Genomic DNA, 13,957 nt, shown 5'->3' with positions numbered 1-13,957 from the left:
GGAAAGGGAACTCCCTGACCCCTTGCGCTTCCCAAGTGAGGCAATGCCTCGCCCTGCTTCGGCTCGTGCATGGTGCGCTGCACCCACTGTCCTGCGCCCACTGTCTGGCACTCCCTAGTGAGATGAACCCGGTACTTCTGATGGAAATGCAGAAATCACCCGTCTTCTGCGTTGCTCACGCTGGGAGCTGTAGACTGGAGCTGTTCCTATTCGGCCATCTTTCAGTGTATGTTTTATAAGAACTATTGTATCGTCTATTAATGACACTTGATTGTTAATGAAATTTTTTTAGCCTAGGCTTCAAGAAACTGTGAATGAAATACACACACGCACAAACTATGTGCAAAATTTCACACACATGCCATCTACAATATGCATGGCAACACCAGAAAGTTCCAGGCCTTAGGGAGGGTCTTACTTCCTAGAATCTGCTGTAACATCACTTCACAGGATTTGCTGTGAGTGCTTGAGTCACAGCTGGCGCTCAATAAAGATGCGTTCTCCTTTTAAACACAAAAATGTCCACTGATACGGCAGATTCCGTTCATAGGCATCCTTAATCGCAGAAACAGGAGGGCAGCCCTTTTCCTCAAGGCACTCTCAGTCCAGGGATGTGCCCACTCCGCAGCCACACAAGCTGGCGTGGGATAGGGTCAAAGAACGGTGGATGCGCACGGGCCGCCCACACCCTCGCTGCCCTCCCGGAGCGTGGGCGAGTGATTCTGAATGTGCAGCAGAAAGCCAGGGTCTCATGGGAAGTAAAGTCCTTCTTGGTTAAAAATGGAATAAAGGTGACAGGGTCCAACCAAGGGCAAGTTTGAGTCCTGCCAGTTCAATATTGAGTGCTAAGCAGAGTGGCTTATTTCTAGGTTTAGTCACATGTATATTCCTCTGGCCAGAATGAAAAATGTTGACTGGGTTACCCCATATAACCCCTTGGGTGGCAACTTGCAAAATTGAGAGGCTTTTGCTATGGATCCATGAAACAAAAAAGATGATTTTCCTTTATGATACAGCTTGGCCCCCAGGGTTATAGTGTAGTAAGCAGGGTCACTAGGGCCTCTCTGGGAAAAGGAACCCAGAAGTCTGGCCTGCCAGCAAAATGGTAAGAACTACTTACCAGTCAGACTCTGGCCTCTCTCTCTCTGTGCAAACTGGTTAAATGAATCGTAAAAGTCACTGTTTATCTCCTCTATAAAGTTTGGGTTAATACAAAAAAAGAATTCTGAGGCTGGTCTTAAGCTGTAGTGAATCCAGTATGCTTTGCGTCTTTCTGTATTGTTTTGTCATAAAGAGGGGTACCTTAGGATAAAATGCGTGCCTAGGACCCCATAAGCCTGCTGTTCAAGACAGCCCAGAAAACTGGTCAGTTATGTCCTTGGGAGCTCGACCTTGTAACCACGTGACTGTGGTTTCTCTTTCCACAATGGCAGCCTGGGTTCAGGGTTCAATTCCCAGCTTAGGGAATGAGTACTTTCTGGTTTGAGATCTGCATGACCTTTATCATTTGTTGATTCTTTTTCCCTCCATTAACTATCTTAAATTTTCCTTTTTCTGAGCACAGAAATTGGTCATTTGGCCTAGCCAAAGTTGGGTAATATTCAAAAGGACTTTTTTTTTTTAAAGAGCACTATAGTTAAACGTCAGCTTAATTACAAGCAGATATTCAAGCTCTAACAGCCTGGGACTCCTTGGGAAAAACAGGCTGCGCAAAAGACCCCGTTTCGGGGGGAAAAAAAACAGACCTGTTTTCCTCATGGAACCCCAGGAATTGGAAATGGATAGATCTACCCAAAATCTAAGGCTCTGTTCCTTTTGGGATCCAGGATCTGGTATAAAAATGGGACCCTTAATTTTGGGGGACTTGTTTTGCCTTCCAGCTGTGCCTGCTTATTATATTAGGCCTTAGAAACTGCATGCTTTCCCGGCCCTGTTCTTCCAAGGACTCCACCCTAAACCCAGTAATCCAATTAAAAAAAAATTCAAAACTGGCAAATGAAAAATCTTACAACTACTGAATCTTCTGTGTAGTTATACATGTATCGTGTGTGTAATGTTTATATAAAACAGCTCTAATTAATTGACTTTAAGAATACGCCCTTAAATATTTTGTCAGAAAAATAAAAACAGTAATGTTGTAGTTCCATAACTTTAGTAATCTTTGGGAAATTAAAACTGCTTTTAAAAATTCTTCAATTTACCTACTTTGGAGCATTATATTGTAGATAAGTCCCGGGGACATATGGAATTAGCCACGCCCCCTAGCTATGCAAAGAAGGTTATAAAGAAAAGAGATTTTATATAAGAAAGGATTTTTTATGGGTAATTCTTGTCCTAAAGTAAAATAACTGGTTGTTTAAAGAGAGGGATGTTTAGGATAAGTTGGAAAATCCACACATGACATAGATGGTCTGTGTTGTTGTGAAAGGATTCATGAAAGGAAATGTATGCACCAAAAGTAAAAGTTGCTAAGAGTCACCATTATAACATATGATTGAGACTACTGAAAAAATAGTTTTACAAGCAAGGTGTGTGAGGAGAATGAAATGTACATTTGGTAAAAGATTACAAGGCATGGGAATGTAAATTTTTGCCTTGTTTGGAGGGTTAAAGGATTGTTTTAAATTAGATAAGAATAAGCTAAAGGTTTGAACAAGTTGTGGAAGGCTTGTAAAAATTAATCTTGTAAAAAAAAATTCTGTGTGTGAACACCTTGACTAAATTTAAAGCAGTATTTGCTGGTTTATCAGTAAATTGAACATAGAAATAAAAGCACAAACAGGGTTTTCTTAAGCACTTAAAGCACTGATCTGCTCTTAAACAAAAATTAGTAAAGGGCTATAAAAGGTTTATGAAACTTGGCAATGCAGGCTCTTTTTTGGTTCCGTATGAACTTTAAAGTAGTTTTTTCCAGTTCTGTGAAGAAAGTCATTGGTAGCTTCATGGGGATGGCATTGAATCTATAAATTACCTTGGGCAGTATGGCCATTTTCACGATATTGATTCTTCCTACCCATGAGCATGGAATGTTCTTCCATTTCTTTGTATCCTCTTTTATTTCACTGAGCAGTGGTTTGTAGTTCTCCTTGAAGAGCTCCTTCACGTCCCTTGTAAGTTGGATTCCTAGATATTTTAGTCTCTTTGAAGCAATTGTGAATGGGAGTTCACTCATGATTTGGCTGTTTGTCTGTTATTGGTGTATAAGAATGCTTGTGATTTTTGCACATTGATTTTGTATCCTGAGACTTTGCTGAAGTTGCCTATGGGCTTAAGGAGATTTTGGGCTGAGACGACGGCATTTTCTAGATATACAATCATGTCATCTGCAAACAGGGACAATTTGACTTCCTCTTTTCCTAACTGAATACCCTTTATTTCCTTCTCCTGCCTGATTGCCCTGGCCAGGACTTTCAACACTATGTTGAATAGGAGTGGTGAGAGAGGGCATCCCTGTCTTGTGCCAGTTTTCAAAGGGAATGCTTCCAGTTTTTGCCCATTCAGTATGATATTGGCTGTGGGTTTGTCATAGATGGCTCTTATTATTTTGAGATACGTCCCATCAATACCTAATTTATTGAGAGTTTTCAGCATGAAGGGTTGTTGAATTTTGTCAAAGGTCTTTTCTGTAACTATTGAGATAATCATGTAATTTTTGTCTTTGGTTCTGTTTATATGCTGGATTATGTTTATTGATTTGCGTATGTTGAACCAGACTTGCATCCCAGGGATGAAGCCCATTGCCAAGTCAATCCTAAGCCAAAAGAACAAAGCTGGAGGCATCACGCTACCTGACTTCAAACTATACTACAAGGCTACAGTAACCAAAACAGCATGGTACTGGTACCAAAACAGATATACAGACCAATGGAACAGAACAGAACCCTCAGAAATAATGCCGCTAATCTACAACTATCTGATCTTTGACAAACCTGACAAAAACAAGAGATGGGGAAAGGATTCCCTATTTAATAAATGGTGCTGGGAAAACTGGCTAGCCATATGTAGAAAGCTGAAACTGGATCCCTTCCTTACACCTTATACAAAAATTAATTCAAGATGGATTAAAGACTTACATGTTAGACCTAAAACCATAAAAATCCTAGAAAACCCAGGCAATACCATTCAAGACACAGGCATGGGCAAGGACTTCACGTCTAAAACACCAAAAGCAATGGCAACAAAAGCCAAAATTGACAAATGGGATCTAATTAAACTAAAGAGCTTCTGCACAGCAAAAGAAACTACCATCAGAGTGAACAGGCAACCTACAAAATGGGAGAAAATTTTTGCAACCTACTCATCTGACAAAGGGCTAATATCCAGAATCTACAATGAACTCAAGCAAATTTACAAGAAAAATACAACCCCATCAAAAAGTGGGCAAAGGATATGAACAGACACTTCTCAAAAGAAGACATTCATGCAGCCAAAAGACACATGAAAAAATGCTCATCATCACTGGCCATCAGAGAAATGCAAATCAAAACCACAATGAGATACTATCTCACACCAGTTAGAATGGCGATCATTTAAAAAGTCAGGAAACAACAGGTGCTGGAGAGGATGTGGAGAAATAGGAACACTTTTACAGTGTTGGTGGGACTGTAAACTAGTTCAACCATTATGGAAGTCAGTGAGTGTGGCGATTCCTCAGGGATCTAGAACTAGAAATACCATTTGACCCAGCCATCCCATTACTGGGTATGTACCCAAAGGATTATAAATCATGCTGCTATAAAGACACATGCACATGTATGTTTATTGTGGCACTATTCACAATAGCAAAGACTTGGAACCAACCCAAATGTCCAACAATGATAGACTGGATTAAGAAAATGTGGCACATCCAGTTAGAATGGCGATCATTAAAAAGTCAGGAAACAACAGGTGCTGGAGAGGATGTGGAGAAATGGGAACACTTTTACACTGTTGGTGGGAGTGTAAACTAGTTCAACCACTGTGGAAGTCAGTGTGGTGATTCCTCAGGGATCTAGAACTAGAAATACCATTTGACCCAGCCATCCCATTACTGGGTATATACCCAAAGGACTATAAATCATGCTGCTATAAAGACACATGCACACGTATGTTTATTGCGGCACTATTCACAATAGCAAAGACTTGGAACCAATCCAAATGTCCAACAACGATAGACTGGATTAAGAAAATGTGGCACATATACACCATGGAATACTATGCAGCCATAAAAAATGATGAGTTCATGTCCTTTGTAGGGACATGGATGCAACTGGAAACCATCATTCTCAACAAACTATCACAAGGACAAAAAACCAAACACCGCATATTCTCACTCATAGGTGGGAATTGAACAATGAGAACACATGGACACAGGAAGGGGAACATCACACTCTGGGGACTGTTGTGGGGTGTGGGGAGCGGGGAGGGATAGCATTAGGAGATATACCTAATGCTAAATGACCAGTTAATGGGTGCAGCACACCAACGTGGCACATGTATACATATGTACCAAACCTGCACATTGTGCACATGTACCCTAAAACTTAAAGGTATAATAAAATTAAAAAAAAAAAAGAAAACGTGGCACATATACACCATGGAATACTATGCAGCCATAAAAAAGGATGAGTTTATGTCCTTTGTAGGGACATGGATGCAGCTGGAAACCATCATTCTCAGCAAACTATCACAAGGACAGAAAACCAAACACTGCATGTTCTCACTCATAGGTGGGAACTCAACAATTAGAACACATGCACACAGGAAGGGGAACATCACACACCGGGGCCTGTTGTGGGGTGGGGGGAGGGGGAGGGATAGCATTAGGAGATATACCTAATGCTAAATGACGAGTTAATGGGTGCAGCACACCAACATGGCACATGTATACATATGTAACAAACCTGCACGTTGTGCACATGTACCCTAAAATTTAAAGTATAATAAAAAAAAAAGGTTTATGAAAATCTCACCTTATGGTCAAACTAAGATTGGAAAGATTTGTCTTTAAGGTTTTATTATAAATTGCGGTTGACATTAATAGTACAGTAGTACAACAGTGAAATTTGGCTTTCTCTCTTGAACAAGATTTTCATGTAATATTAAAAGATAATGAAACATTTTTGTTTGCCTTTTATTTAATTAATTAATTAATTAATTGTTGTTTTTTTTTTTGGACAGAGTTTCACTCTTGTTGCTCAGGCTGGAGTGCAATGGCATGATCTCGGCTCACCGCAACCTCCGCCTCCTGGGTTCAAGCAATTCTCCTACCTCAGCCTCCCAAGCAGCTGGGATTACAGGCATGCACCATGATGCCCAGCTAATTTTTGTATTTTTAGTAGAGATGGGGTTTCACCACGTTGGCCAGGATGATCTTGATCTCTTGACCTCGTGATCCACCCGCCTCGGCCTCCCAAAGTGCTGGGATTAGAGGCATGAGCCACTGCGCTTGGCCTTTGTTTGCCTTTAAATAAACTACCAAAAAAGGGGCTGGGGGAAAGACAAGAGACAGATGATTCGGAAAGTTAAGTCTTCACTCTATCAGTGAGTAAAGGTTTTAGCTTTTAAAAAATTTTTGACGGCTGCTTGCGGCGGCTCACGCCTGTATTCCCAGCACTTTGGGAGGCCGAGACAGGTGGATCACGAGGTCAGGAGATCGAGACCATCCTGGCTAACATGGTGAAACCCCGTCTGTACTAAAAATACAAAAAAATTAGCTGGGCATGGTAGCGGGCACCTGTAGTCCCAGCTACTCAGGAGGCTGAGGCAGGAGAATGGCATGAACCCGAGGCGGAGCTTGCAGTGAGCTGAGATTGCACCACTGCACTCCAGACTGGGCGACAGAGCATCTCGAGACTCCGTCTCAAAAAAAAAAAAAAAAAAAATTTGACTCATCATTTTGGCTAAATGAATGACTTACGGTAACCTGGAATTCTATTTCATAGTATCAAGTGTTTTAAACCTTTAACATATTTGATGGGGTACCAAAATCAAATTTCAGCTTCAAAATTGCCTTTTCTTTCCTCTAACACTGAAATGCTACAGAGGGCCCCGAAAGCATCCAAAAGAGAGGTAAACAGATTACAGATTTGACATGTTACATGGGAAGCATTGTCAAAAAAAAAAAAAAAAGTTTAATCTTCTTCAGATTATATTTTAGTGAGTGATATTAACATATGTTACAAAGTTGTACGAGATCTCTATAATTCTAATATGTCTGAGTATATGCTATTAATCATAACTGTGGTTATTATGTTAAGTTATTGTAGACCACAGAAATAACCAAATTTCCTTGTCAATTGTGTTTTCATCTATAATGATTTAAAGTCATTCCCACAGTTAATTGCTTAATGCTGATGCAGTTTCTGAAAACTTCATGAGCACACAAAATCCTAGAATATGGTGTCTTTTAGGAGGTTCAGGAAAGGATGAAAAGGATCCTAAAAAGCACTCTTAAATACAGGTTTCTAATAACTTCAGAATCATATCATTTGAACTGGGTAAGAATTCCTGGAACTTCAATGAAAAGACGGACTGGTTTATAAAACTGCTAACCCAAGCAGAACAAAAATTAATTAAATATCAAGAAAATTGCCAGATTTTAATGCAAAATCAGCTAATACTGAAATTGTTTAGATACACAATATGAATGAACTCTAAGGTCTAAGTCAAATTACCCAAGATAACCCATCAGTTATTAGTGCTATTCACATAGTTTGAAGAAACTACTGGTATTCAAGAGGACATAAGTCTAATGTTAATTAAGCATGGACTCATGGAGAACGAGGATGGGCACCTTGTCCTTCCTGAGTCCTTAAAGCATTCCATGACTCGTCGTAGAGAAGATAAAAATGATCCAAATTGAATATATTGGTGTGGTGACTTACAAATTGCTAAAATAGTTTATAAACAATGTTTGGTCCTATATTCCTAGGAAAACAATCAAAGCTTCAGGTACATCTGGTCACCTGATGGGCCATTTAAACATTTTATAAAAAGATTTCATTCAACTGTTATTTTCAATGCATGTTTTCTGGTTGCATAAAAGCTCTCCCCATGCAAGAGGACTAATGTTATAACACTAAGTTATTATGCTACAGTGTATTTTCACCAGGAAGCTTTTTTATGGTTCACTGAGGACAGTCAACCCCTTCACAATCTAGAACCCAAAGACCGGATCATCTAAGAACATCAGAGAAAGACTGTCCTTGCCATCCACATTGCAGCAAAACTTTGGAACCCTGAATTTTGGATTCATAATCTCACAACTGAGAAGGGTCCCTCCTCACTCTTAAAAATGTGCACTCATTGAAACCCTTAGGGTAAAGCTAACCAGGTAAGTCTCTCCCCAGAAAACGGCATCCTTGATGTGAACAGCTTTTCCCATGATCACAGATCAAGACTTCTACTATCATAAGACTCTTATCTTTGAATATTTTTTCTTGTTTATGCTTCTATGAACAAAACAAATGAAAAGGGGGTCTGTTGTGTGCACTTATAGGGTATACTTTTATTTGTGAAGGATTTTGCAGCCAGCCTTATTCATGGATAACCTTATACTTTATAAGGTAAAAGATGAAGGCCCAATGTAGGTGAGAAACTTTAATGGTACATACGTTGCCTCATCATCAGTCAGAAACATAACATTAATTCACTCTTCTTAATTCACATCATGAATTAAAGAGAACACTGCCAGGAAGCTTTCACTCTTCTAGAAGGGCATCATTTGTTAGGTCCTTTGTCCATGATTTGGAATAAAAAAGGCAATGATTAGAAACGTATCCCACGTAATCGGCTCTATAGCGGATTCTTCTGTAAAGGCTATGGTTACACAACAGACTTTAAATTCTCTTGTGAAAGTTAAGCTAAATAATAGAATTGGCTAAAAGAAAAGTATCTGTGTATGTGCAGCTGTTGGCAGTTGTGTCCTATGGAGAAAAAATCTGGTATTGTAGAGATTCAGTTTTAGAGGATTAATGAAGAGACTGCTTAGTTAAGTGAGTAGACTGGTTAGCTCATTCTTTGATCTATTTGATTTTAGGTGGTTTGGTTTATGGGGACCCTGGGTAAGGAGCATACTCCAAACTCTTGGTATTATCCTCCCAATAGTCATAATAGTCTCCCTAGCGCACTCTATTCTTTCCAACGTTTTAAATGTTTGCATACAGCCATCTCCAGAATGTCAAATGGTCTCTCTTCAACTGGAATGACAAGAGCTGAAAGAAATATTATAGGACACCATAACCTATGAATGACATGCTGAGACTGGAAACCCAAAATGATGGTAACTGAGGGTGGTGCTGAGGCTCTAAGTTTTGGTTACACTCACCTAAGTGAGAACCTGGTCAAAAGGGGAAATTTTTTAAAACAAAACTATGGGAGGCCATTGTTTTGGACTAAGCTCATGTACTAGGCCCCAACAGACCAAACCAAACAAAAATGGAGTCGCTCATGCTAAATGTGACCCAATCAAACTAAGACTTTAAAGAAACATAGATCCTAGACAGAAAGGACCGGGTTTTGTTTTTCTCCTGCAAACAGTATACTCCAGCATAAAGAGGTACCCACTACTCAGTCTCTGTGCCTATCTTTGCAAGACTCACTGTTCTACTGTTTCTCAGTGGGTTTCAAGACCAAATGAAGTACATTTATGATGGTAATACTGACATCAGTGACTAAAGTTTTAGTCAATCTCTCAAAATTGAGAAAATGACCAAAAGGGGGGAATTGTTAAAGCAAACTAAATATGGCCTGAGAAGGACTCCGTACTTCTATATTTGAGTCTTTGTGGATGAACTACAACCTAACTTAATAGGTAGACAAGATTGAAAACCTAACTTAGGAGTATGTGCCTGTTACAATCGCTGAGTCTTGGCCAATCCCAGCAGCCATACTTCAACCAGTATTTCTGTACCTCACTTCTGATTTCTTTATGTCACTTATTGTCTACCAATTTGTTCTGACCACGAGGCACCCCTGGAGTCTCTCTGAATCTGCTGTGATTCTGGGGGGCTGCCCAACTCAAGAATCGTCCATTGCTCAATTAAAGTCCCTAAAATTTAATTCGGCTAAAGTTTTTCTTTTTCTTTTTTTTTTTTTGAGACGGAATCTTGCTCTGTCGCCCAGGCTGGAGTGCAGTGGCATGATCTCGGCTCACTGCAAGCTCTGCCTCCTGGGTTCACACCATTCTCCTGCCTCAGCCTCCCAAGGAGCTGGGACTACAGGCGCCCACCACCATGCCTGGCTAATTTTTTGTATTTTTAGTAGAGATGAGGTTTCACTGTGTTGCCAGGATGGTCCCGATCTCCTGACCTCATGATCCGCCTGCCTTGGCCTCCCAAAGTGTTGGGATTACAGGCGTGAGCCACCGCACCTGGCCCTGAAGTTTTTCTTCTAACAATATATAATCCAGGTTAAACGTCCCAAATCCAAAACTCCAAAATCTGAAATCCTCCAAACTCCAAAATTCTTTGAGCACTGACAAAGGAAACGCTCACTGAAGCATTTCAGATTGCAGATTTTCAGATTAGGGAAGCTCAACTAGCATAACACAAATATTTGAAAATCCAAAATTCAAAATACTTCTGGTTCCAAACATTTCAGATAAGGGATACTCAATCTATAATACCATTTTATGCACAAAAGACAAAGAACCATAATATTACCCAGTTTTTTCCATAGGTGTCTTTCACCTCCAAGTATGGTCTCAAAAGAATGCACATGACCATGTGCATGAGAATCATCCAGGTTGCATATTTAAAAAGCATATATCAGAACCACAAAATCAGATGCTTTGAGTGAGGCTCAAGAATCTGCATTTCTTTATAAAAAGTAAGTACCCAAAGTTTACAAACCACTGCAAGGATAAAAAAAAAATGGGCGATTTTATTTCTTTCTTCTTTATACTTGGGTCTTCTACATTTTTCTACTGAAAACATATACAGATAGTCCCCATACAATGGTTTGACTTACGGTTTTTCTACTTTATGATGGTGCAAACGTGCTACACATTCAATAGAAACTACTTCAAGTACCTATACAACTATTCTGCTTTTTACTTTAAAAGTAAGCCTATTCAGCCAGGCATGGTGGCTCACGCCTGTAATCCCAGCACTTTGGGAGGCCAAGACAGGTGGATCACGAGGTCAGGAGATCGAGACCATTCTGGCTAACACAGTGAAACCCCGTCTCTACTAAAAATACAAAAAAATTAGCTGGGCATGGTGGCGGGCGCCTATAGTCCCAACTACTTGGGAGGCTGAGGCAGGAGAATGGTGTGAACCTGGGAGGTGGAGCTTACAGTAACTCGAGATCATGCCACTGCACTCCAGCCTGGGCAACACAGCAAGACTCTGTCTCAAAAATAGACAAATAAATAAATAAATGAAAATAAAATAAATAAGCCTATTCAACACTTTATTATGAAATAGGCTTTGGTTAGATTATTTTGCCCAACTATAGACTAATGTAAGTGTCCTGCACACGTTTAAGGTAGGCTAAGCTATGATGTTCAGTAGGTTGGATGTACTAAATGCATTTTTGACATAATATTTTCAACTTATAATGGGTTTATTGGGATGTAATCCCATTGTAAGTCAAGGAGCAACTGTATTTCTTTTATAATTGGGTAGGGGAGGATGAGAGGGGTAAGCTGTTTTGTTTTGATAAAGCCAGGGGAATGGTGAAGGAGGGAAAGAGCTTGTTTCTCCTTTTTCTCCTGCCCAAGTGTCTAGAGAGGATAAAAAGGGGCCACATTTACTTCTTCCTAGAGCAAGACTGAGGGAGCACAGGTATTTTTCCCATTTAGTGTCCTTCACTAATCGGGTCAAACTGTGGAAGCACTTGCCTCAGTTCTTCATTTAGCGAGGGCTAAATGCTCTGAGGGTTATGGCTTTTTTGCCATCTCCCCACATTTTCTGTTGGAAAAGGCCATTCTCCAGTCCTGGTTCTCTGGAGCTGTGGGGGACTGTGCTATGGCACAGGATCCCAGTAAAGGGAGGTAGAAGAAGAGTGTGATTAAAAAAATAATCAGTTAAGGGTCACATTGCTAGGGATGCCAGGCTATATATACATCTATTTACCCATGAATTCAATAACAGTGTATGGGTGAAGAACATGAAGTGAGACAAATCTCGAGTTAAGCCCTGGTCCCACCACTTACTAGCAAGCTATTTAACCCCTTGAAGTCTCAGAATGCTCATCCATAAAACAAGACAAATACTTACTTTTATAGGTTGCTGTAATAGATAATACATATCAATTACTATGTGCCAGGTTCCATGCTAATAAGGGCTGAAGATACAGGGATAAAATAAATATAACTCATGATCTCCAAAATTCCCTACTTACAACTTTTTAAATGAAAAGTCCAGAAATGGGTCAATAATTCTAGTAACTCATCAACCACAGGAACACTTCTATATGTAACAACTTGATAGCTGAGGCATCTCAATTCTCTGCTTCAGCTGGTTGAATAAACAGTGCCCCAGTGAATACTTCTTTTTTGGCACAGGGCAAGGATCAAGATGATGCCTGGCTTGATCCTTGTGAATAATGGGACACAATAGGACACAATAATAAGAATTTCAAATTAGGTTTTGCTTATATTCATCACTACCTGTACATTTAAAATTTGTATTTTTTGACAAGAATCTGATTATCACAGAAGAGTGAAGGACTAGGCTGTGTTCCATGCCAATGATATCAGCTATGACAAATGATTGCAGAGTTCTTTTGCAATTATAAAATGCTACATAAATGCTGAAATAAAAAAAGAAAACCATTCTTGGGTTTATTTAACTAATTTCATGCTGCTAGATAATTTTTTGGTTTCACACTTCAGTAAGAATACCTCTAGAGGCTAGAGGAAACAAAAGGAAAAAAAAACTGCTGTTTCAGGAAGCCTTGGGTATGATCAGATCCCATGTTTAATCCCACTCCAGTCACACAGAACAATGTGAGCCACTTGGCTCAAGTTTTAAGATGCTTCTTTTTGAGAATATAAGATTAGTATGAATTCAAGACACACAACTGTGCTAACTGTTTGCTTCAAGCACACCAGTTACAGGAAACAATGAACAGTGCATATCAGAGGGAAAGAAAAGCAATCAATACATAATAGAGAGAAAGTGGCTGTTATTAACTACATAATAAGAGGTTAGTTTGATTGAGCTTAGCATGTTGTACTTTTGGTTCAATGCTTTCTGAGGACTGGGCAGGGGGAAGGGAGGAAAGGGAATCAACGTGTTTTCCAAGCCTAGGTTACCTCTGAGTAAACTGTGAAAGATAACTGCATAGTCACTACAAAGGAAAGCTGTGAAGATAAAGAAATAAAAAAGCTCTAAATTTCTTAAAAATCCAAGTACAGACACACATATACACACATACCCCTGACTGATTACATTTTAAAATTTCCCTAAAGCCTACCATAAATGTACTCAATCTACAGATAAGAATCCTGCTTGTGCAATAGGTGTTTCAGAAAAGTTTGGCTGGAGAAAAAAAAGTTTGCAAACTAAACCAAGTCAAACACATTAGGACAGCGTATTATGTAAAAGACCATTTCCTACTAATCGTTTTGACAAACTAAAGATTGTTTGTTATTAAAAGTAATCTTCTTCCACGATATAGAGGGTTCTAGATGCCCAGAGGTATGTACCCTTTAAAACAGGGCTCACCACAGCAACATCCATGCACAAAACTTCATTCGGTCTTGTACCCTATTTCTTAACCATCACTGGCTCTGATTCCTCTCCTAAGGCTCACCCATAATGGCTGGTTGTTCCTGATTTTCCTCTGGTTTTAGAACTCAGCCTACACCTCAACCATGGCAGGGAGCTTTGATCATCCTCCTAAATCCCGACCAGGATCCCTTTCCCTCTTTTTGGCTTTGCTAATTCTCTGTTGGAAGTGACAGTGTAAAGCAGTCCCGTCCTTTTAGCCTAAGCTGACTTCCTAACCCACCTCTTTTTCCCCTCCC

The 13,957-nt window shown here is 39.8% G+C and overlaps 1 protein-coding gene across 2 annotated transcripts in view, besides 1 other annotated feature; it reads right to left on the bottom strand.

Annotated features, from left to right (window-relative positions):
* TRIM44 (tripartite motif containing 44) overlaps positions 1-13,957 on the bottom strand; it is a 155,233-nt gene that overhangs the window by 115,008 nt on the left and 26,268 nt on the right. The window lies entirely within an intron of this gene.
* Positions 12,499-12,668: an enhancer, noted in NCBI's record as "experimental_21277 CRE fragment used in MPRA reporter constructs". NCBI's record gives its function as "activates a minimal promoter by MPRAs in K562 erythroleukemia cells, with activity observed for the non-introgressed 11:35711965 variant allele {active_cell/tissue: K562}" and the evidence as "EXISTENCE:reporter gene assay evidence [ECO:0000049][PMID:34662402]".

The sequence above is a fragment of the Homo sapiens genome, chromosome 11, assembly GCF_000001405.40.
Source record: "Homo sapiens chromosome 11, GRCh38.p14 Primary Assembly".
In the NCBI taxonomy this organism is placed as follows: Eukaryota; Metazoa; Chordata; class Mammalia; order Primates; family Hominidae; genus Homo; species Homo sapiens.
Note: the sequence above shows the minus strand (reverse complement) of the source record. Positions and strands in the feature narration are given on the sequence as shown.